The following is a 25,892-nucleotide window of genomic DNA, read 5'->3' on the forward strand; positions in this document are numbered from 1 at the left end:
GCTCTGATGGCATACAACTGTTTGATAGGCTAATAGATGGGTGCCCCTTGGCGGTGGCAGGCAGCGCTGTTTATGTATTTATTTCACAAGGTTGTCTTTCCCTTCTTATACTCAGACCTATGCCAGAGATTATGATTTGTTGGTCTTGGGGAAATAAAGACAGATATCATTGTTTTTGGTTTTAAAATTTCTTAGGTGGTTATAGTGTGTGGCCGGGATTGACAGATGCTACAGCTGCATCTCTAGATAAACACAGTAAATTAATTTAATTTTGTTTAAATCAGTAAATAGTTAACTTAGTGTCTGCTACATGCTGGGGGAGTTTTAGGCTATAGAAGGTGGGACATCTAATATCTTTTAAAACTCCTGCGAACTTATAGGTACTGTGACAGATACTTTCACCTAAATTATTTCAGGAATTAATGATCTAGCAGGAGAGACAATTTAATACAAAGTTGATTGTTTTAAATGCCATATAAATAGAGTTACAAAATTAAAAATAGAGTTATAAAATTACTGGAGTGGAGATGGGGACAGATATGAGTAACTAAATTATAGGAACTAAAAGTAAGAGGGTTCTTCGAGATGAACCAGTCCAGCCTCTGCATCTGACAAATAAGGAAACTGAGGCTCAAAAATCAGTAATTTTCTCAAGGTTACAAGGCTTGGGAAAGATCCAAGGAAAAAAAGTTTCCCTGATTCCAAGGTCAGTGCTATTTCCACAGACCTGCAAAGGTAAACATACCTCTTTGGTGAAGGAAACAATGACTGTTTTCTTAAACATGTCTATGAAGTTACCATCTGAAAGTTTCTTTACTTAGTAGTACAGTGGGTAGAAGCTTGGTTCTGCAAAACGCATAGGGAGGATTTGGTTGAGAATTTGTTTAGTATAAATATAGCCTTTGAACCAAAACATTTCACAAACAGCATAACAGCAGGTAGTATCTATGGAGAGCATCTGGGGTCATCACCTTATTCAATGTTTTCTAAGCTGTTTTTGCCAAATTAGCAAAAGAAAAAAGTATAATAATTTCAAAAGATAAGATTTTTATTTACTAGAATATCCTAAAGATTGTTAATTTAGTTTTTGTGGCTTTTTTTTTTCCCTTCATCAACATAGAAAATGGATCTTTTATGTTTCTGTTTTATATTGAACAATGTGGGATCACCCTTAAATTTAAAGAAGTATTTGATTATACCTGAGTCAAAGAATGTTGATACGGAAAGTGAGAAAAATTTTTTTCATTTCAGACCCTTCATAAGATCTGTAAACACTGTTAAACTATTATCGTAATTTTTAATACAATATTATTTTTAAGTCAGATTAATTGGTCTGAAAAAATATACATAATTTCTTTTGCAGATTTAACTGGGTATGATCATGATTTATAGGCTGATTTTCCTTAATGATATTTTAAGAGTGTTTCAGTAGATTTTTTTGTGCATATGTTTCAGTCAGTAAGGAGGCTAAGGACATAAGACCCAATATGGTTCCCTTTGTATAACATTGAACAGTTACTTTCTTGAAAAAAGTTTTTTCTGTAAAGTGAGGACATTGAAGTAAATGACATTTCAGGAGTATCGTAGTTCTGATAATCTGTGATTAAAATAAGTAAAGCTAAAAAGCCACAAGTTATTGAAATTAAAAAGCATGTCCACGTAACCAGTGGCCTACATGTCACATTACAACATCCTGAATCTTTTTTAATGCTGTGTTGGTTTTGCTAACTTTAGCTAATGTTCTTTATTTTTACCTGCTAATCCTCTGAAAACCTGTGATTTAAGAAGAAATTTTATTTTTTTTTGAGACGGAGTCTTGCTCTGTTGCCCAGGCTGGAATGCAGTGGCGTCATCTCGGCTCACTGCAACCTCCACCTCCCAGGTTCAAGCAATTCTCCTGCCTTAGCCTCCCGAGTAACTGGTTTTACAGGTGGCTGCCACCACACCTGGCTAATTTTTGTAGTTTTAGTAAAGACAGGGTTTCACCATTTTGGCCAGGCTGGTCTTCAACTCCTGACCTCGTGATCCACCCGCCTCATCCTCCCAAAGTGCTGGGATTACATGCGTGAGCCCACTGCACCCGGCCGAAATAAAAATTTTTAGATGATAATTTTTTTGTATTGCCTGATTCACAAATTGGTGCATTTTCTGTGTGTTTAACACCTAAAGTCTATCTCCCCCTTTAAATTCCTTCTTTTTCTGCAAAAGACTGGAATCTGCTACTTTAACAAGAGATATATGATGATAAATGTAATGTATACCGGAAAGAATATATTATTTCTTGTACATTGTACTACAAATATTAGAGGAAAATAATTTTTTAAAAAAATATTAAAAATAACTAGGTTTGGATTATGATGTATTTTTAGTAATTTGAGCTGCCTGTATTTTAAAAAAATGAAATCTGTCTTCTCGTTAACACTATTGCTCTGTGTTATTTAAAAGTAAAACAAAGTATGACTTGGTTTCTCTATTTTTTGGTTCCCTTTTTTATTATACCTCCCTACCCCATCTCTCTCTGCACAGGGTGGGTATTCTGCTCCCTCCTTCTCTCCTTGGCAGGGCTCCTTCCAGGGGATCCCACGGACTGTTCCACCGCACCGCAGACAGAGTGAGTCTGTGTCTCTCACTCCTATCCTGCTCTGGCTTCCCCTTCATGGTATTTCCCTTCTGCATGACCTGTTCCTCCCCAGCACCTCCTTTTCTATCCTGAGTGCTCTGCAGGCATCTGCTAAAGCAGCACTCTCTGTGGTCTCCTCTCTTAACACTTCCTTTTACTGCATGTAAACAGACCTCTACTTAGAGCCTTATGGAAGCTGTCTGAGGTTAATTTCATTCTAATACTGTTTAAACCTATTGCCAGTGACCCTAGACCTACTGACATGCATCTGTCTTTAATGCATTTTCAAAACCTTGAAATATGTGAATAAAAATTGTTGTGTTATCTAATTGTTTTAAAAAGTGTACATGTGATCTACAATGGTATGATGGACAGATGCATAATGTGTGGGGAGCAGGCTTACTAGACCATTGCACATTTCTTTAAATAATATTTCCTAATTAAGGGCTTGGATTGCATTTCACTGTCATCTAAAATAAAGATATTTCTAATTGTTTTTTCTAAAAGTGGTTTAAAACAACTAAGATGTTTTTGTAATTTATCAGCTTTACAGCACAGAAGAAATGGCTTTTGAATATGCATGGTTTACTAACATTTCTAATGATTTAGTTACTGTTTGACCTTAAAATTTTTGTTTATGTTAAATCTCTTTTCCAAAACAGTGTGGGTTATTTTGTTTTATGTACTTAAGTATGCCTGGTAAGTTGGTTATATTTTATCTTTTTTGAAAAGTCACCCATAAAAAGCTATTATTAATGAAAATGAAGTGTAAATACAGTCAATCAGAGGTATTTTTATGCCTTCTCCAAGGATTTATCATGATTTGTGATTCATTCAATTTTTTCATTATCCATTTCCATGTGAAGTATCAAAGGTGTCAAAGGAGGAAATTTTAAGCAATTAGGAATGTGATTTATTTAAAGAAAATTTTATTTCTTGAATTAGCCAAAATTATGAGGTATCGACATGAATTCCAGAGAAGGCATGAAGTTTATTTTTTGGCTGCTACACCTCTCCTTCCCTTCTGTACTTTTTGTTTTAAAGAAAAATCGTTTCTGTAGGCTTTTATGTGATGTTCTTTAGTAGCAAGTTCGTTTGTTTACTGGAAGCAATGAGAAAAGGAGTTTTTTTGTCCTCCTCCTTTTCTATCTCCCACCACCTTGGTAACTCCTCCTTCTCCCACCACCTTGGTAACTCCTCCTTTTCACTTCTCTCGTCTTCAAGTAAGTTGCTTTCTTTTCTCCTCTATTTAAATAATCCCAGCACAAAAAGAATCATACTAAAATGCTAGTCAAGTCATCTGAAATTTCAAAGGGCAGATACAACAAATTATATGTTCTTAGGCTTGTGGCCAGTAAACAGCAAGGTTTGAGATTTCCCCTCAGATTAGCACACCCACCTGTGTACTTACTCAAGCCCCCTTTTAGCCTGTATCCTTTTTTGTCACCATGTTCCTCCCCCTTTCTCCTTCTCCTCAGCTAGCTGTAATACGGAATTGAAGTTTGGGATTAATTATTCTGTATTACAAATAGAGTTTCAGCTTTACTTTTAAAAACATGTTTATCAGAAATACCCATTTCATTGGTTTATTTGTATAGCATTAGAATTTTCTTGTCTTTTCCTTGATTCAGTGGCTCTCCATTTTCAAGTGCTTCTTCTCCTTCCTTCTTGGGTTCAGAGCTTTCCTTTTTGTTTCCAACTGTGAAGCAGCACTATCCTACAATTCCTACAATACTAGTAAGACCTGCTTTTTTTTTTTTTTAAACCTTTCTAGATCAAAACTTCTTTGCATCTTCAGATTAACAAAAAGAAAGTTTTGGTTCTCCAGAGTTTGGATGTATTAGTCATCTAGGGAAAAAAAAAAAAATATATATATATATATATATATATACTCATATATATATATATGAGTCTTTTCCTGAGTAGGTTCTCACGGCCTGTGCATCTAAAAGCACTGGCCCTAGGATTTGATCTTTGAGACTTGTAGGTCCCTGTTTGTGCGAAGTAATGACCAGAGGGCCTGTTCACAGCCTTTTAATAACTATTAATGAGCTTGAAAGGTTCCTTTAGAGGGGAAATATGCTCTAAACTACTACTCTATTTTGAATTCACCCTGAGAACAGCTAAAGCAGTTTACTAATAAAGGGTTTTTTTTTAGTTATAAAATATAGAAAAGAAAGGTATGAAATTATTAGAATAAATCTAGTGGTTTTCCAGAGGGTTTTGAAACAGATCTCTTCTTTTCCTATACTAAACTTGTAGTCAGATGATACTTGTCTCCACATTTAATCAATATGTGGGTCCTAGTACTCATGTTTGGAGAGGTTGATTGTGCTTAAGAAGATAGTTGAGAGATTTCTCCAGTATAATGTTTCATTAAAAAGTTCTTTGATGACTTCTTTTTTTTTTTTTTTTTTTTTGAGACAAGAGTCTTGCTCTGTTGCCCAGGCTGGAGTGCAGTGGCCAGATCTCAGCTCACTGCAAGCTCCGCCTCCCGGGTTCACGCCATTCTCCTGCCTCAGCCTCCCAAGTAGCTGGGACTACAGGCGCCTGCCACTACGCCCATCTAATTTTTTGTATTTTTAGTAGAGACGAGGTTTCACCGTGTTAGCCAGGGTGGTTTCAAACTTCTGACCTTGTGATCTACCTGGCTGGGCCTCCCAAAGTGCTGGGATTACAGGCGTGAGCCACCACGCTCGGCCTCTTTGATGACTTCTTGAACATCAGCTTGAGGGAACTGCCTTTATCCTCTAAATGGGGAGGCGAGGTAAAGCTTGGCTGTGAGTCTTCAGTAACAGCAGTTTGTTGTTTTTTAAGTTACGGAAGTATAGTAGACCTTCTAGTATGAAGATAGTCCGTTCTAAATATGCAGAGTGAGATAATTAATGTTTACAGGGAGTATTTAGCCCTCGTCACTCTAGAAAGCTGTAGTGGCCAGCAGTGTTCAAACTGCGTTGAAGAATATAGGAAAATAGGCGAGGCGCGGTGGCTCACGCCTGTAATCCCAGCACTTTGTGGGGCCGAGGCAGGCGGATCACGAGGTCAGGAGATCGAGACCATCCTGGTTAACACGGTGAAACCGCATCTCTACTAAAAATACGAAAAATTAGCGGGGCGTGGTGGCGGGTGCCTGTAGTCCCAGTTAGCTACTCTGGAGGCTGAGGCAGGAGAATGGCGTGAACCCATGAGGCGGAGCTTGCCGTGAGCCAGATCGCACCACTGTACTCCGGCCTGGGCAACAGAGTGAGACTCTGTCTCAAAAAAAAAGAATATAGGAAAATAGAGATAAATGGAAGGTTCTGGCCTTTATTATTTTTCCTTCTCAGGAAATTTTGACTTACATTTCTTAAGTATATTACTAGTCTCTACTTCATGATACTTTTTTATTTCAAATTAAATTTTCTCTAGGTTAGCAGAAAATATCTACATTTAGGTCTTTCCTGCTGTTAGTAGGGATTTGAGCTTTTGTACAAATTCACTTAACTGGCATTGGTGTAGTCTTTCTACTCTAATTTCCAACTGTGTAAAATTGGGAGTAATAAATAACCTACCTCAGAGTAGGAAAATTTAATAAAAATAATTGTTTTTGGCAAATAGAAAGCCTTCCTGGTAATTCCAAATAGCATTTCTTGCCAGAGCATGTACTTACAGGAATACTTGACTTTTCAAAAAGTATGTTTCGAAATAATACCTATTTCTTACTGTGTCTAACTAAGCTTTTAAAACTTGCTCTTTAGTACCTGGCTTGATAAATTTAGAAATCCTATTTATTTTTACCTTCCATGTGCAGTGACTTAATGCGAAGGGAAAAAGTTCTTTTAAAACAATAAAAATTACATAAATGCATCTATATTTGTCGTAATAGCCTGACAGTTTCTTGATGTAGTGTTGTGTCCACCATAATTATATTAAGAATGACAAATTTATATTGTCTTACATCTTCTTTCTCTTACAAATTTCAGGGGGTGTTTCACAAACATTTTTGACATGCAGTGATTATAAATTTATTTTACATGACAGCCCAGTATACATTTACTGAGAGAAAGTATGTATTTACAACAACCTGATTCACTGTGTATGTATATTTAAAATTCTGATAAAAGATTCATGGGACAATACTTTCTCTTAAAATATTTGATCCTCTCATATTTTTTCTCTCTATTCTGTTTTTTTAAATGTTGCTAGCAACCTGCAGTTAAAAAACATTGGTCTATTTTGCCCATATAAATATGAGCATTTAGGTTTTAATATACTGACTTTAAATATGAAGGCTAAGAAGTGTAGATAATTTAATGTGCATAGATTTTGTGTGTATAATCAAAGTAAAGCTTTTTTTTTTTTTTGCAGAAATACTGTTTTTAAGTGGTGCCTCCTAAGAATTGTCTATGGCAGGAAAAAATGTTTATTGTTGAATATTAATAGAGTGGCTTAAATGGCTGATGAGCCCTTTGTAAGAGCCAGCTTTTCCTCAGTTTAACCAAAACGTTGATCTTACTGAATGCCCACCTTTGCCATTTGCCTGCTTATCCTCGACTGCACTGTCTCAGTTTAGTAATTCACTGTACTTATTCTTTTAGTCCTTTTGGCTGGAGAATTGTTCTCTTGAAATTCATACAGTTGGATAATCTTTCTAAGAGCTACTTAAAAATTACACTTTCACAAATATTCCTATAGGAAACTCTTATGTATATTTTTAAAAATTTAGCCATACATTTTAAGAAAGGGGAAAAGACTAATATTAATTGAATACCTATTATGTGTTTTAATGTCTTAAGTACTTTTCTGGGCATTTCATTTAAATTATTTGATTCTCACAACAACTCAGAGCCAGAGATATTATTCCAATTTTATAATAAGGAAGATGCAAATAAATCATAAATAAATCAATAAATGATGTAGTAATTTGCTCAGGGTAAGTGAACAAACCATAATTAAATTCTGTTCTACTTCCAGAGTCTGAACCTTAAATATTTTTTGTAAATACAATGACTCTTCCTTCAAAATGTACATTTGTCCTATTTATAATAGTAATGTAGTGACTCATTATGGAGGAATTAGAAGAAACATTTTGGTATATTTCCTTTCAGTCTTTTAAATATTATGTTATAAAGTTGAATTTATGTATTTTCAGTCGTTCTGCTTTTTTCACATAGTATCATTTTATATATATACACACATTTTTATATGGTAAATATTTCTTGAAATTAACATTTTAATGGCCACTTGATAATGCATTATGTGGATATATTCTAAATTAATTTTTTTCTATTGGGCATTAATGTCGTTTCTAGTTACAGAGAGGAATATTGGTAAGCAGTTTATCTTTGTGTATAAATCAGTGTCAGTGTCTCTCTTTTCTTAGATTTCCTGGAAGGATATCATTTAATTAAAGGGTATACACTTTCTAAGGCCACTTGATGTGTCAAATGTGTATTTGACAATTGTTGAATTGTCAAACATGCTCATAATGTATAAATTAACAAGGCTCAATCTGATTGACTCTAATGTGTGACTATAATCAATTTTATACATAAGAATAGCTTCAGCTTCCTTAGAAATTAGCTCTGGGAGTGACTTTTCATAAAAATAAAATATTTTTGAATGAAATGCAAACTAGAGTAACTCAGTAAAAAAACTTTACTAATTCAATTTCGTGTATGCTCATTTTTAATTTAAATATGGTTAACATCAAATATGGTATTTTGTACCTTTTCGCAGCCAATTTCAAGGACTATCTAGTATAGTCATTGGTTAAATGACTAGAAATGTGCATCTAACTCATGGTCCAATAGGCCTTCCACAAACGTAGGCATGGGTTAGTTTCTTGGAATTATGAGAAGTGCAGCGTTAGTGGTTTCTGTATAAAGCCTTTTATTACAATCTGCTTTGCAGCTTGTGGGATTTTTTTTAGCCAGTCTTTTTTCTGTACCATAATGCTTACAGTATTCTTGTACTCTGGATAAATATACTGTGTCTATTGATCACATCAATGGAACTGTACTATTATGATGCCATTTAGGTTTTTTTTCCTGAACTACTCTACATCATCTGAGAGGTAGATGTTAATGGATTCTGTGTCTTTGAGATATAGACCCACGAAATTAATCATCTAAGAGTGATTGTGCCTCTGTAGTAAATGCTTACTTAAGTCCCTCTTAATCACTTTGATACTTAAAAAAAAAAAAACCAAACCCGTTAACTGGTCATCAACTTAGAAAAGCCATTGAACTCTTTATTTCAGAAATTATTTTTAAACAATTTATATTATCAATCTGCTATCCTCTAAATTTTCTGAGGTCTAGAGGCACCATTTTGAGATACAGAGGAATAAGAGCATTCCTTTTTCCCAAAAAGCACTGGAAGCTGTGATTGGCTTCATGTGATCTCTAAAGCGAAAGTCTTTAAATCTAGTTGTAATACAGTATTAGGGATACAAATTAAGTCTTTCTATACTGATGTGCAGAGCCTCACTTATAATTTGCATCATATTCAGGTTAAGATCAGATTATACCTTTAGTGGTCTTCAATGGCAATAATTAAACTGGCCGGGCGTGGTGGCTCACGCCTGTGATCCCAGCACTTTGGGAGGCCAAGGTGGGTGGATCACAAAGTCAGGAGTTCGAGACCAGTCTGGCCAACATAGTGAAACCCCGTCTCTACTAAAAATACAAAAAAATTAGCCGGGCATGGTGGCAGGCGCCTGTAATACCATCTACTTGGGAGGCTGAGGCAAGGAGAATCGCTTGAACCTGGGAGGTGGAGGCTGCATTGAGCCAAGATTGCACTACTGCACTCCAGCCTGGGCAATAGTGCAAGACTCCATCTCAAAAATAAATAAATAAATAAATAAATAAATAAATCTAACACTTATTTAATCTTATAATATGCAGAAGCCTCTGAAATTACTTAAAAATTCATTTCTACCTCCTTCATAAGAGGTTACTTGGGACTAAAACTTTTTAGGTATTTGGAGTATGAATATTAAATTTTATCAGAATTACTTTCAATATTTTGTTTGGTAAGAGTCTTCAAGTGATTCCTCTTAAGTGTGTGTGAGAAGTTTTACACATGCCTTTCTGAGGTTATGAGTATTTGTACTAACTCGCAAATTACTTTAGTAAGAAAGTATAAATCTATTTAATGTTTTTGTTATGTACAAATATATTAAATGAAATAATGAATAATGCCTAGGAAAACACAACAATAGCAAAGCAAATACTTGTGGCTGCCACCCAGTCATGGCAATCCTTGGTGTTGTGTGTGGTCTCTGATGCCATTGTCCTGTCTTTTTCTTGTCTCTGCTCTCCCATTATGCCATTGGCAAGGAGTTGAGAAGTTAGTCCATTACTTCTCTGACAAAGCGTGGTACAGTACAATTTCGGATTTTTTCCTACCACCTTCCTCATAATCACTTTTTTTGGTTTTTTTTTCCAGTTTGCATGATGCATGTCAGAGCCTGCATGAAAGTACAGGCATGTTACAGATGGCTCTATTTCCACCTTCCTTTTTATGGTTAAAATGTATTTAATAATAACAATAAACTTGTATGTACCCAGGAAAAAAATTAGCTAAATTCTGTGTCTGTTATGCAGTAGCATTATTACACTTTAGAACATTTCCTGCTTTCTATTTGGTGCACTTTGACATATTTTTACTCCATCAGGACTTGACATTTTAGCTGCCATCTTTTGCTAATAACCCTAGAACAAGAATGCTTATGAAAACTGGCATGAGTGCTTTTCCGTATGCTAATGCTGTAGATCTTTGAAGTGTCGTAAAACAGTAAAGGTGAACTGTTTTGCTCATTGGTGGGTACTACTTTGCCTTTTTTCATGTTCATTATGTTTCCCCCAATGGGTCACTGTGGAATCACCTCTTTCCAGAAATACTGCTCCACACTGTGGCTTGAGTTTAGTATCTGAAAGTTATCCTGGGTAGGCTAGATCATCTAAGAAGGAAATAGGACATTATCCAGGAAAGTTAGTTCCTTAATATTGGTATTATATCTGCCTGTAGTGTTTTAAAATATATTAAAATAATCATCTGGTTATACTGTATATTCTGAAAGCCTGTGAACTCATCAGAACTAACCAAATTGCACAGAATATTAAATTTTAGTGCTGTATTTTAAGAAATTATCTGATGGTTCAAATTCTGGCTTTGCCACTTGCCAAAATGTTTGAATTTGAACACGTTAACATTTTTTAACCCCAGTTTACTCATTTATAGAAAGAAAAGAACAGTATGTTTCACCTAGGGGTCTCATGGTAACTAGAGATCATGCATGCAGACTCAAGAGTTTGAATCTATACCCTTGGAAAGAAGGGAACGCTGTTCTCTAAGAGCCCAGAGTATGACATTTCTCAGGTGTTTATGTGTCAGGCATTGTACTGTTACTGGTTATTATTTGCAACAATTCCATGAAGTATATATACTGGTATTACCCTCATTTTGTAAATTATGAAATTCCATTTCAGGGTAGTGGGATTATTTTTACCCAATATCTCACCTCAGTGATAGATCTATAAGTGATAGAGCCAGGATTCAAACTCAGATCAGCCTGATTGTAAAAGCTAAGTGACTCAGTATTGTGTTGTACTACCTCCTTTGTAGAGAGAAGAAAGTTCTCTCTAAACTTGCATGTCTTTGCTCTGGTTCTTATCTCCAGGAAGGCAGTTAAAGATCCTTGACTTCTGTGTCATATTAAATATGCTTGATGTGGATTCAAAACTTATAGATAGTGTTGACATTATTGAACTATGTATTTGAAGCCTAGCAACCTCATATTCTAGTTTATTATTATATTGCTAAAGAACTTGCTTTTGTTTCGAAGACCCAGTTACAAAATAGCTATGACTTGAACTCATCATTCTTATATGCTTTAATAATCATAGAAGAAATTTATTGAGGACATACTATGTGCTAGGAAGTCCTATGCTAAATGTTTTACATATGTTGTCATATTTAATTATTAGAATTTTCTAGTAGCTGAATGCTTGTTAAGATACTTTCCCCAACCTATTTCTAGTCTTCAGATAAAAAACATTTGGTGGCTAAGATTTTAAAAGGTCATTATGAGAGGTACTTATGTATAACATGCTTGTGTATAACATGCAGTCAGTATTTCCTGCTATCCTTCTAAACATGAATCATTAAGCTAACCAGACTTATTTGGAGGGAACAATTGTTTTTTCCTATTAGATTATTTTTCATCAGTGTTTATTTTTTGAAACTAGTTTTTATTTAATCATTAATGCTTCATCATTGACCTAAATCACTTTGGTAATTCTTGGCCAAATAAGTAATTCTTGAATATACCACTAATATTTATTTATTCACTTATTCATTTATCTAGCAAATGTATATTTAATCCCTACTTTGTGCCAAATAATAGAAATACCAACTATAACGAAAAATGAATAAAGCATGGTACATGCCTGAAAGGAGCTCCAAGTCTTTGGCTATCTTTGTAAAGCAGCCTAAAATAGACATTTACAATTATCATTAAAGATGTCTACCAAGCCTTTGCACAACCCCCCTGTAGTGCCTATTGCTGACATTATTGAACTTGACGCATGGAACTCTTTAATCTGAGAATTATCAGAATGGTGTGCTGAAGTTTACATGTATAACTAAAGTAAGACTTGAAGTTGCTGAGTTCAGTTAGAGGCACTTAGCTCTGTAAGTCTGGGGATAGGTCCTCATTTTGATGCTTCAGTAACCAAGCCCTCCACAAGTTTCAGGATTAAAGTTTTACTCATTTGTGACTATAGGGAGTAGTTAAGATATGAGATCTTTCGTAGTGGGGGGATTCCTTTTGCCCTCTAGGTTTTGTGGGCTTCCGAGGCTATGAAATCCATCGATTAGCGGAAAGCCTTCCCAAAGGCCTTTTTTGGATACAAGCCAATACCTCATCTTGCCTGTCCCCTTCAAATCTTTTTCAGTCCTCTCCAGATTTTATGCCAAATAGCTTGTGATATGGTTTTTCTGACAATTTCGTCCCCACTGGTTACATTCCTCACTGGTTCCACTGGAGTGATCATTCTAAAACACACACATTAGATATTCTGATTCCTCTTCTTAAAATTCATCTATATCTCCCATCATCTACAGCACAAAGTCATAGCTACTTAGCCTGACATGAGTCCTAGGAGCTGGCCCTTAGCTATGCTTTTGCACTATCCTTTCAAATTCAGTCTAAAATTTGAAGTGACCAGAACATGGCATGTTCTTTTTTTGCCTCTGTGTTTGGCATGTACTAGCTCATTACACAGAATATTCTTCCCTTCTTGTTTATTTGATAAACTCCTATTCACCCTGTTAAAACTCAGGGCAGATTGTTCGCGGTTCTGGAATGCCTCCTGTGACCTCTCCAGGCAGGCATGTTTTCTTTTTGTTCCCATATGTTGTTACGCTTAAGACATGATCTCACCATTCCTTTACCTTATTGTCTCCCTCACTAAGCTCCTCAAGCACAGGAACAAAGTTATGTTCAGCTCCAGATTTTCTCACTCCTAGTACAGTACATGATACATAATAAACATTTAAAAAGTGTATGCTTTTTGATATTCATTCCTATTTGTCTTAGCCATGAGGATATGGGATCTTTTTATATTTACATTCTAAAAATGTCTGAGGGCATCCTTTTAATGACCATAGAAGCAGCAGTGGATGTGAGCAAGATGAATTAACATCTGGCATTTATATGAACACAGTTGAATGTTTAGTATTTGGGGAAATTGTAGCAACAAGCCATCAGAACACATCTCTGCCTTGCTTGCTAGAGGTTAAGAGGTAGCTTGTTGTTCAACTTGCTAGCAGGGGTAATTAGCGGCAATCCAGTCCTTAGTGGGTAACCACTTCCATGTAGTCTTCCACATACCAGGAGCAAGTTGTTTCCTTGTTCCTCACATTATAGGTGTTTCTTATTCCTCGTGAAAGAGACTTTTTGTTTTTACAGTAGTGGAATTGATTTTCCAAATATAGTTACCAAATAAATAATAAAGCAAGACACTGATTTGGGGATAGGGAAATTATATCATGCCACAAAAATTAATTTTTAATAAAAATATAAAATTTTATTTCGCATATAGAAACCACTGATTTAGTTAATGTAATTCACTAGTAGTATAGATGTCTAACTTGTAGTTTAGACATTTATTTATAAAACTGTTAAATTCCTCTCGGTTGACTCAACATTTTGTTATTCTTTAAAAACTGGATGTTTTCTAATTCATTAATATTTGATATGAAGCTTTATTGCATTTAATACAAGTAGCTTGTCTTTCTGACTCTGCTGTATTTCCGTTTATTTCTCTGATAAGCAGTGGTCAGTTGGGTACTGTGAGTAATCAAAACAGTACAAGTGGTGAGTACAAAACAGTACAAATTTATAGTGCACAATGGCCCTTTCCTGGGCATTTCTGGAGGTAGGTTGTCTTAATAATCAGTTTATTACCTGTCTTAATTGAAAAATCATCTTTTTATGCTTTTCACTGATAGCACATGTTTATACCTTTTTTCTTATTGGCAATAGACATATTACAATAAAGTCCATTTTTAAATTGTCACTGATATTTTCAGAAGTCTTAAATTGCTTTAAGAGTTTTAACTTGGAACTAGAATATCTTACCATGTTTGAGGGTGAAAAGGAAAAACAAATCCCCATTCAACCAACCAATTGATCGTGCCTCCTTCCTAATTACTTTTTATTCCCTTTGGTAGATTTTGGTTTGTTTAATATGGTCCTGCTCTATTTTTTCACTAATCTTTCAAGGTTTTTGATCACTTTGGCACGGTCATTTTTATCTAGGGAACCCCAGGGAGAATCTGTTGATTTAATTATGTGGTGATTTTAGTATCTTCCGTTTTGCGGGACAGTTCATTCATTTTTGTGTTGATGTGCTGTGAAAATACCCAGTGACTTTAAAGTCTGGGATATTTAGCTTGAGGCAGCAATTGAGCTGACTTGTTTATTTCAAACATTCTGCAATACGATTTGATGTGACATATTTCTGTACAGATTAATTTTGAGTAGTCACTGTCTTGATTTTTTTTTAATGCAAGTCAGCTGTATGCCATCATAGCCAACCATCCTCCATGAGTTGATGAGCCTTGCCCTCAGTCACTCCCAATCCAGCCATAATCTAATCCCTGGCTGCTGATCCTGGGCAGCCATTGTCCAGTGCTGGTCAGGGAGGTGGAAGAACTGAAAAAAACACAAATGATGCAGTATAAATAGATCCGCCCCTTCTATTGGGGAAATTAGAGCTACTATGTAGATTTATTTGTGGATTAGCATAGCAAAAAAAACTTATTAGTGAGAAATGGCCCTCTGAATTTCATGTTGTAAAGCCCTTTGCCAAAGTTTTTGACATTTTAGCCCACATTATTTAAACAGTGTGTGTGTGTGTGTGTGTGTGTGTGTGAGAGAGAGAGAGAGAGAGAGGAGAGAGATAATGCATTTGTAGCAAATACCCCTGTATCAGGACAGGCCCAGTTGGCCCTGCCCATATATTTTAACTATTTGGGCCATTGAAAGATAGCTTTCAGATTTGTATTTTTTACTGGATACCCCCAAATCATGGAAATGGCATAGTTCCTCTGATTGTTTTTGAAACATAACTACACAATGAGCTTCAGGGAAGTACATGTGAGGCACACAGACCCTAAGAACCTTGTCATAGGCTTCTGTTCTTTAGTTGCAGTTAGAGGCAACTTCACATTTGTTTTACTCTGAGCCATCATTCAAAAGGCTGATTATTCTAAATTTAAGTAAATGAATGTTTACTTTTCATTAGGGTAGATCTGTTTTTCACATGTCAGCCATAATAGGAGTGAGACAGAACAAATAAACTTTGAAACATTTTATTTGGAAACTTTTCAACAAGAATATTAAAAATAGGTTAGCATTAGCTAAATGTCTCGACCTATATTTGTTAAATAAATAGAATTTCACATAAACTGAGAATATAGTGATTTACTCTAAATCTTGTTTATCTGCTGGTGCTTTTCATTCTTGACAGAAGAACAACACTTGTTAACATGGTGTACAACTTTTTTTTTTAACTTTAATGTAAGTAGTATTCCGAAGGTCACCGTTAACACCTGAATGTTTTGTGGAGGTTAAACCAAAAGCTGTAGAATCATTCTGTCAAGCTCTAAGGTTTAAAATACCTAATGAATCTATTATGGCAGGAATTTTTTCTATAATAAATTAGTACTTTAATGTTTTCTTTTTCTCATTTAATTTTGGATCTTGTTCAGTGTTTACTGCCTGTATCATTTTTTGTTTGCATTATCACTCTTGTATGTGTCTAATTTGCTTGAATATTGCAGTTCATTTTTTAATTAAAAGAAACTCCACATATTTTCCATATTAAAGCCATAATAAGTACCAACACAGCCTAATTGGTATTTATATTAAATCTGGGTGGAATTTCTAAGAACTTGCTGCTAATGTTGTTTTTAATTTTAACAGCCTCAAGTACTACAGCCTTCCAGCAGCCTTCCCAGACCCACAGATCACACCCAGGGAAAACTAATAAAGCCACAACGTATCGAGGCCCGCAGTGAATGCTCAATCCAAGACATGCATCAGGGCGGTGCACATCCGGAAGAAAGCTTTACACACGTCTTGCACCAAGAAAGCAACTATGGTTTGGAAGAGCAGCCTTTTTCATCAGGCCCACAATTAACAATGGATGTGGCTAAGAGTACACCTTCTGAAGCAAACTTAAACATTACTGTAAATGCTCAAGAGCCTTATCATTTGGCAAACAATCAAATTAGTGACATGCAGTTTATACCCACTTCTCTTCAGACACCTCCCGAGTCAAGTACAGTAGACCAGGCTAAGAGAGTTGGAAGAAATCAGTCTCCGCCAGTGGGTTATATGTCTCAGCCCAAGTCCTTGCAGCTTTTAAAGCCATCCATATTGAGTTCTTTGGTACCGCCTCCAGTTTCTGAATCATCTCCAAGTAGGACTCCCACTTGTAAAAAGTCACCAATAATCACAACATGTAATTCAGCAAAACTTCAGCCAACATCTAGTCAAACAAATCTTGCAAATAATCAGAATCTGAAAGCATCTAAGCTCCGCCCCCCCTCAGGCTCTTTCAAACAAAAACAAACAAACAGCCCCCAACTAGAGCCTCAAAGCTTCCAGGCCAAGACAAGCATCCCAAGGCCACTAACACAACGAAAAGAAATCATGCAGAATCCAAATGGCAATTTGCATTCTGGGGATTGTTTGGCCTCTAATCGATATTCTCGTCTTCCTAAACCAAAGATACATTAAGTACATAGCCATCACCTGCCAATTTGTTTCTTAAAAACAATCTCTTCTGTAATAGCTTTATGTGCAGCTTGCAGCTTGCTACTGTGGTGGAGGTTCCATTGAAAGCCTGCAAATCTTAAATTAAAATGTGGAAGCTTCTACTAGTTTGGCTCCTTCATTTTATATCCTGGTTGAAGTACATGCCATTTGAGCATAATTATCTCAGGTAAACACGAAAGTTTGCTTACCCATTTCAGAGGCCTGCCAAAGGCCCAAATCATGTTATCCATCCCTCTCCACGTCAGAAAATTCATAATATTTTACTGAGCAGGCAAGAAGTGTGCTTTGCTGGTTTAGTCCTATTAAGGTCTGTATTTATTGTGGTTGTCAGAACCTCACCCCTTTTCACTTGTCTCTCCTGTGAATATGGCTACTATTTTAACTAAAGATATGGTGATAATGGAAGATGGTAGTCTGTAAGCAGAGTTCTGGCCAGTGTTTTGTATATTTAAAAGGTCTATGCAAAAGCTTTGTGATGAATAAAGGAGATTAGGCTTTTAATGGAAAGTCTATGTAAGTTTTATTTTTCCTTGCCAGGGTCAGTCAGCTAATGTTACTGTTGATTCATTTCCCAAATTCCCCAGACTGAAAGTGTTTCTTATTACATATAAATCAGTTATATATTCCTTTACATCTTGTTTTACAAACACATGTGCATGCACACACACATATACACACACATACCATTTATGTTTGTATTTGTTACTGGGTAAATTTTGGAGCGCTTGAGATACACCTTGAAACCTGTACCTAAAGATGTATTCATTTGTAACATATGTTGGTGCTAGAGTTTTGCTGGTAATTCAGGCTTGAACCCTTAGGCTTGTGGATCCATGATAGCCATTTTAAGGTTCCACAGCATTATGTCTTTAATTGTAATATTTATATTTATTGATTTTCTGCTAATATCTGAAGACTGAAATAATGAACTTGAAACATTTGCACAAAACTTTGATGGGGTATAAATATACCATATATAGGGATTGTAAACTATTTTCTATAGCAAAACAAGTTAAAATATTTTGAGAAAAATAACAAATTTAAATAAGACTATCTTGAGAAAGCTGGAGTTCATAATATTCTCCCCCTCCCCCATCTCCAGTCTCCTAGGTTTCCCTTTTCTGTGTTTTTTGTTTTTTTCTGTTTGTTTTTTGAGACAGAGTCTTGCTCCATTGCCCAGGCTGGATTACAGTGGCGCAATCTCGGCTCACTGCAACTTCTGCCTCCCGGGTTCAAGCGATTCTCCTGCCTCAGCCTCCTGAGTAGCTGGGACTACAGGCATGTGCCACCATGCCTGGCTAATTTTTTTGTATTTTTAGTAGAGATGAGATTTCACCTTGTTGGTCAGGCTGGTCTCGAACTCCTGACCTCAAGTGATCCACCCACCTCGTCTATGGTGTATTTTTGAAAGACAATTTTTTAAAGGTAGATTTGGGAAAAAAATAGAATTGAAGATGGGAAATTTTGTTTTATTAAAAAGGTGCTAGAAGATGTTTCAAAGACAATATTCTTATTTTAATACGCTGTAGAAGGTAGGTGTGGAACCTCCATGCTACCATGTGCACAAACCTAATTATGCTTTGGGTCACTTGTCAGTTCAGTAAATCTGCCTTCCTCTTCTCCCAAATCATGTCATCTTTAGGTTGTTCACCTGCAGCTGCTTTAAATGAATTAGTATCTTTCAGATAGATAACCTTACAAGGAGAATGTTTGTTTTGAGCAGCTGACCAAAAATATATCAAACAGGATTATGGCCAAAAAGTCACTCAAATTTCTAGAGATTCCTTTAAAAGATGTATGTTGATGAAATTGCCCCTTTATAAGAAAAACAACAGCAAGTCTTTTAGTAGAAATTTGAAAGAAGTGTTTGCTACCATTTTGACCCATTATTCCCTTACCTATCAGATGAATTTGCCATTCACTGGATAGAAACCATTCTTGGATTTGGTAAGAGGTGAGCAAGACAAATCTTGTACCATACTCTTATGTACCAGCACTTCTGATGGAGAAGCAGTGAAGTTCAGAACGTTCTTCACATAGTCCAGATACTGTTAGAGTCAGGCAAATCAGCAAAGCACTTTGTTATGGAGATGACCCATGATGGCTGCAGTTGTAAGTGGGCATACATGTTCTATCATTTTGAAGGAGAAAGAAAACCGTTCTCACATGTTGCAAATATGTGAATCATACTATATTCCCCTAAAGTAAAACCAGTGACTTAGTGGTTTTTGGTTTATTTAGAAGTTGGTTTAGACCCTTATGAAACATTATTTACGAGTTGGCCTTATCCTTAAGGGAAAAGTTCTAAATTTTTAAATTTATTTTTAATTCCCTAGTCTGAGGGAAATGTCTTTATTGTCCATTACATAAAAATGTTGACTCCAGTAATTTATTTTTCTCTATTTTTTCCTCCATGTATTTACTCCATTTTTCTCTATTTTTTCCTTCCCTGATGGATTTGCAGAAATGTTAACCAATTAGCTCAACTTTTCTCTACCTTTGTTGAGTCTTAATCTTTTAGAAGATAGGCTTATCGTATATTTATGAAGCATAATATATTAAAAGAAAACAAATCTAGGATGCTTGCATGACATAAAGTATTTGCCTGCAGTTTTCATTAAAAACTGCAAGAATATCATGCTTGTCTGCTTCTTAGTAAATGTTAAGTCTGAAATGGAAGTGAGGATGTAACTCTACTGAATAATCAAAGATCATCTTAGATTTGGCTTGATCTGTGTTTATTGCTTCTATTAATGTAAATCAACTCTGTGCCAAATCCTCCTCCACAAACCATTTATTGTCTTAGTTCTAGTGGTATCAATGAAGATAGTTACAGTATATGAATTCTAAGTCCTGAGGAAGAAATTTTATGGGGTTTGTTAAGTTTCACATTCGTGAAAGAGGAAATTAGTAGAGTATTCAGACTTTGATATTTGGCTGTTAATGGGATGCATATCAAATTTTTAAAAGAAGGCTTGGCCTAAGGAGTTTATTGGTACAGGTGCAGATGATTTTAAGGCATTAAAGGATTATAGAGTTATGTCATTTAGACTGTTTCTAATAACTGAGACCATCTAACATTTTTCTTTTGGAGTCTCATTTTTATTTGTGCAATATTTTCAGGCATATAGGCTACTGTTCATTGTATTTATATATATATTAGAATTTACTAAGTACTTTAACAAGTAAAAATCTGAATATGAAAGAAAATATCAGATTTGCACTTTAAATGAGCTTAATTGCTTGAAGTTGTGCCTGAAATATCGAATTGCCTCCTATTGGGTGTGGCTTTGTTGAAATAAATTTGTAATTGTTGCTGTTTGAAGATATCAGTACAGCTGTTCACAGAAATATATTCCCAGCATGTCACTTTTCCATTAAAGCACTAAGTTTTCTTTGAATGTTCCATTGTTCCGATAAGTATTTTACTTTTTTCTCAGTACATCAGAGAGAGCGTGATCCCCCTACAGCTGTCACTTCCAAATGTTCCTGTAGCATAAATGGTGTTACAGACACTGAGGTGCACTCTTGGTTTCTGAGCAGAGTTGTCATACTGGTTTCCTGGTCTCTAGGGCACTGGGGATGTACTTTGAAATCACCGAACAGGCTTGCAATTAAGATCAATAAGGCTGCAGCACCATTTCAATTTACTTTCCATCTTACCCAGTAGTTTTTGTGTTTTTAAATTCGTTTGGGTGGTTATGTTTGCATGCTTAAGCACACATTTGAAAATTAATTATAGCTGTACTACCCGATGTTTTTCCTTGGGGATGATGGCCTTGTTCCTTTTTAAATTCTGATGCTTGAATTCTATTTTCTAGTGATTTTTCACATCTCCCTTTAAGTTTTTGCTGCAGCAATTTGAGAGAGTACTTTTGATTAAATGATTCTGATGGTGGGCACCAATCTACAACTATGTCATTAACTGAAGATACATGTTTTAATCTTGTTGGGAATAAGCTTACCCACTTTCTCCTTGGTAAAGCGTTTACTTAACAAAATAATACCCGAGAATGTAAGGTCTCTAAGTCATTACTAACAAAGAGCAAAAATAATATCTGCAGTATTGTTTTTCCCATTGATTTTAAGTCAGTTTAGAGTACAAACTGTATATTAGAATTTGCCTGTAAAATGAATTCTAAAAAGCAGATGTAAAGTCTCTCCTGAAAATGTTGGCATAGTAAATAAAAATAAAGTTCATAATTATAAAAGTTCTCTTGTCTTTCTCAACATTGACTCCCATAGTTTGCTTTTTCTTTGATATCTTTTTTCCCACAAAGATCTAAGATACTGTTCATTTGCTTATGTTTTTCCCAACTCTGATACTTTATTTTACATGCTGCCTTCACACACATCTTGACACCCCAAGCCCTGATTGAGTAGGAGTTGATCAGTATTTTGTTGTTGTGTCTTCACAAATTCTGTAAGAGATCTAGTACTTTCGTTTCCATTGTAATAAAATACCTGCTTTATCTTAGAATATTGGGATAATGGTTAATGGACATTTCAAGAAACATTAGCACCTTGGATTTAGAATGCTGTACAAGGAAGAAAACACTTGTAATTTTAATTATTTTGTCATTGTTTTTAAGCAGTATACAAAATAGCTTGAGGCAAGAAAGGTGTTTAGTGAAATTTTACATAATTTTTAGGAACAAAAGGAGTAAGGAATATATATTTTTTCAGTTTTACAGTTTAGTCAGATGCGATAGTCCCGTAATAAGAGACAAAAAAGTTGATGCAGTGGTATGTTATTAATCCAAAATGTTTACACGAATTCTGGGAAAGGAGGGAAATTTTATTAATAGTTTGATAATAGCACTTATTACCTCTTAAGACACCTGTATGAACTTTAAGGCCATCTGAGTTCTTAGTGTTGCAGAATTTTGCTCCTTAGGTCGGCTAAATCGGGGTTCTTGTGTCAGGACCAGGAAAATGTAGACACATGGACACATTGAAGTGTGTGGGGAATGGAATTCATTGGGCAAAAAGGAAAAAAAAACTCAGCAAAGCAAGGGGGGAATCCTGCTAACAGGCCCCCACCTCACAGATAAGTTCCAGGCCACCACACATGTGAGCTGAAGAGCTCAGGCTCTTCCCTCCTGCCCAAGGCTGGAACTTCCCGTGGCTCCACCCAGTTCTCCCAGTGCACAAGCTGGTTGGAGATTCTCTGAGGACCCTCCCCCTTATTGGCCTTCTGCATCTATCATTAGCAAGTACTTTCTTATACTAAAAATTTTCCCTTTTAATTTTGTCATTAAGTGTAGTCATTTCAGTTTCTTCATTTATGCTGTTGATTGCGCGTTTTCCATTGTGAAAATATTTTATCCCTACAGAAAAGACAAGCATGAGTTAAAGAATTGACTTCTTCCTCTGTTAACTTGGTTTAAGTAAGTTTGATGGGATGTCTTACCTGTGTCACTTGCTGTGCTGGCTGCAGGGTGTACAAAGGTAACGATGATACAGGTTCTGCCTTATGGAGCTTAGGAACCCTAGGGGATTTTTAACATCATCCGATCCATTGCAGCACTGAGCCCTTCCCTTGCATTCCCTGTTTATTATCTTCCTTTGAACCTACCAGTCTCTTTTGACGTTTCCTCTTCAGTTTCATTTCATTCTGGGCTTTAACTCCCTTGCACTATTCTCCTCTTGGATTCTATATTATGTTTATTCTTGTTTGGTTGCATGCCTTCATTTCCCTAGAAAACCTGGCCTTTTATTATTTTATCCAAGAACGAACTTCCTCTTTAGCCACTATTAAATACTCTGCTTTCTACTTTAGGTTCTTGGAATTTGATTTTAAGACTTCTCGACTATCCTAAGGCCACTGTCCCTTTTAGAACCTCAACCCATAAGATGTTGCTTTCTGAAGTCTACCTTTAACATTCAAATTCATGTCCGGGCTTTTCCTTCCATCCCATTCTCTTGGATAGATCAAATATAATATGGTCTACTTGATGTTTTCAGTTTCTATTTTAATTTTTAATTTTTATGGATATATAATAATTATACATATTTATTAAATACCTGTTATTTCGATACAAGCATACACTATAATCTGTGTAATTGGGATATCCATTGCCTCATTTATTTCTTTGTGCTAGGAATATTTCAATACTACTCTTCTGGTTATTTTGAAATATACAATAAATTATTGTTAACTATGGTCACTGTACTGTGCTACTGAACACTAGGTCCTATTCATTCTAACTGTATTTTTGTACCCATTAACCATCCCCTCTTTATCCCACCTCCCCACCACCCTTTCCAGCCTTTGGTAACCACTATTCTACTCTCTACCTCTGTTAGATCATTTCTTTTTTATCTTCCACATGAGTGAGAATGTGCAACATTTGTCTTCCTGTATGTGGCTTATTTCACATAATGACCTCCAGTTTCATTCATGTTGTTGCTGGTTTCCTACCATTTCTTGCCATGGAGTCTCTAAGGAGGAATTTAGGTCATCCAGAGAAGCCTTTTCCTCACTGATGAATTCTCCCACCCACCCATGCACACAGCCCTCAAATTAGCATCTTTTCTGTGCAAAAATCAGAGAGGAAGAAACAGTTCCTCACAGGCACTTCTCTGGTTTCTCAACCTGAAAAATGGTATTGCTACTTTCCAGATCTCAAAACAACCCACTCCTTAATCCTCACATGAATTCATTCAGACACCCATTTTGAGTATGAATAATCCTTTGGTAATACTTTAAGTGATTACAGAACAAATGCTTTCTGCAGCAAAAGTATACCTGAAATATCAGTCTACTAAAGTGAAAGGTAACTATTCCCCACAAGAAACATGGTTGAAATGCTTGTTTTGTGCACAGCCCTCGTTTCTGTCTCGTGGCAGGAGGTGGATGAGACGGAGACCCTGCGATTGAAGAGATCAAATTGCAACATGACAAGAAGGATCCCAAACAAAGCACTGTAAGAGAGCCAGTGGGCAGGAAGGGGACGTTTGGGACCACAGGTGAACTCGCTTCCAAAACCATTCATCCTTGACAAATGTGCATGTGTGTTAGGATTTCTTTTTAATTACAGCTAAATAAAAACTAGGCCACTATCACATAACCTGTAGTGGTAACGATACATTCCACGAACCTGAGGCCTTTTTAAGCACGTATCAGTTCAAAATACTTCTGAATTATCAGGAATTTAAAAAATTTTCACAAGTTTTAGCTGAGGTTTTGCATTTATAGTAGGTCAAGTGCAAATGTGAATTGCAATGAAAAACAAAAGTAATAGGAGTTGTGATGGATTGTTAATGCAAATGGTTTCTTAAATTGTGTTCCAGAGTTTTGCTGAGATGCAAACACAGATGCTCTAAACTCCCTGCTGCCAGGGGCCGCCTCCACCAGGTTCAAAGATTCAGGACTAGTCAGAGCTCACAGGAGGTGTTTGGGAAAGGGTTTGGGCCAGACCTGGGCACTCAGAACCCTGGTCCTTGGTCTGACTACTCTCATTCTAAGAAAAATTTCAACTAAGGGAAGGAAAGCAGAGCACACAGTGCTTTCCTGCCTTTCAGAGCTCGTAAAGAATTCAAGGGGGAAGCAAAGGAGACCATGGACTTAGAACTATTTGTGAATATTACAAGAAGCATTACTGAAGTCACAGAACAAACCACCAAAGTACAAAGGGCCAATATAACAGAACAAATTAATGATTTTTGCTATTAGTCAAAGAGATGCAAAACAGAATGGCGTGCTACTTACATACCTTTACATGCAAAGAACTGTTTAAAAGAGTGGAGCATTGGAAAAAAAAAGTCTGACAGTAGGAGAATGATTACATTATTTATATGACAAGATGATGCCACAGTCAGCTAATGCTCTTGGGGAATATTTACTCAAAATATGTATAACAATATTTATTCAAAATATTCATATTACAACTGAGGACAAAAGCAAATTTACGAATCCATGAATGTAGTACAATGTGAATACATATATGCTTATAAATACCTATATAAAAGAATAACTTCTTAATGGCTGAATTATTGGCCATTTTTTAATCTTTTTATATATTTTCTGTTTTTTAAAAATGGTGAGACTATGCTCTTATAATCAAAATTGCATGTGTATGTCTGTGTGTTTAATAACAGGGTCATTTCTGTTGCCCAGGCAACATTTGTAAGGCACCTGGCGTATAGGCATCCAATAATTAATCTCCCTTGCCACAGATTTAATGAGTGGTCTTTGTCATCATGGGATGATGTTTCAGAAAATTTTAAGTCACTTATTCAATGACATAGCAAATGGCCTATCTCCCTAACCTCAAAACTAGTAAGACTGCATTATTGTTTTACTCCTTTTTTTGTTCTGGTAATTGGGGTTGGGAACACATTACCTTATGAATCAGGATCCGTCCACTGTCAGTGACAAAATCTATTTCTGCCAAACTTGAATAGTTTGTTCCCTTAGCATGGAAGCTTGGAGAGATTCGTCCTTATTTATGTCAACCCTTCTCTGTGTTCTTTGTGTAGTATTTTCTTATTAGTCATCAGTTCCGTCTACACCATCCCAAATAGGAGTGCCCTAAACAAAATCTTTATAGACTGACAAGTCCTTTCCAGCGTCCTGCTGCATGAGGGCTGTTTGCTGTGGGATGTCAACTCTTAGTATATTAACTGGACCTTAGTGCGTAGTGTGACGGAATGCAAATTGCATTGAACACATTTTTATAGCATGGCTTGTGGTGCTGGAAACCAGAAAAGACAGATCCCAGGGCTTTGCCCCACACACTAGTTACAGGATTGAGGATTCCTCTGGTTTGTTCAGCCACTGCTCTGCTGCCTCCTGCCTCCCAGGCTGGGATGAGCTAAAGAACAGGCCATCTAATTCTGCTCACTGGTTTCGAGCCACGGAAGGAGACCTTAACCTTTAATTATAACGTTTACTTATGGTTTCCTTAAAGCTAAGCCAGTGCTACTCTG

General features: G+C 36.0%; 1 protein-coding gene across 14 annotated transcripts in view, besides 2 other annotated features; it reads left to right on the forward strand.

The window, feature by feature from the left end:
- The window catches only part of CCSER2 (coiled-coil serine rich protein 2), a 189,929-nt gene extending 168,760 nt beyond the window's left edge, over positions 1-21,169 (forward strand). For 9 of the 14 annotated variants that reach the window (NM_001284240.2, XM_017016341.2, XM_017016340.3 and 6 more), the window contains one exon: positions 16,101-21,169. In NM_001284240.2, coding sequence (NP_001271169.1) covers positions 16,101-16,919 — 819 coding nt within the window. In that variant the 3' untranslated portion in view covers positions 16,920-21,169. Of the gene's footprint in view, positions 1-2,526; positions 2,660-9,945; positions 9,986-16,100 lie in introns of all 14 variants that reach the window. The other 5 variants (NM_018999.4, NM_001284243.2, NM_001351290.2 and 2 more) reach the window with 4 other exon arrangements.
- Positions 15,131-15,331: a silencer, noted in NCBI's record as "peak1039 fragment used in MPRA reporter construct". NCBI's record gives its function as "represses an SCP1 promoter by STARR-seq MPRAs in K562 erythroleukemia cells {active_cell/tissue: K562}" and the evidence as "EXISTENCE:reporter gene assay evidence [ECO:0000049][PMID:32103011]".
- Positions 17,065-17,234: an enhancer, noted in NCBI's record as "experimental_17686 CRE fragment used in MPRA reporter constructs". NCBI's record gives its function as "activates a minimal promoter by MPRAs in K562 erythroleukemia cells, with activity observed for the introgressed 10:86274254 variant allele {active_cell/tissue: K562}" and the evidence as "EXISTENCE:reporter gene assay evidence [ECO:0000049][PMID:34662402]".
- Positions 21,170-25,892: the final 4,723 nt, after the last annotated feature.

The sequence above is a fragment of the Homo sapiens genome, chromosome 10, assembly GCF_000001405.40.
Source record: "Homo sapiens chromosome 10, GRCh38.p14 Primary Assembly".
In the NCBI taxonomy this organism is placed as follows: Eukaryota; Metazoa; Chordata; class Mammalia; order Primates; family Hominidae; genus Homo; species Homo sapiens.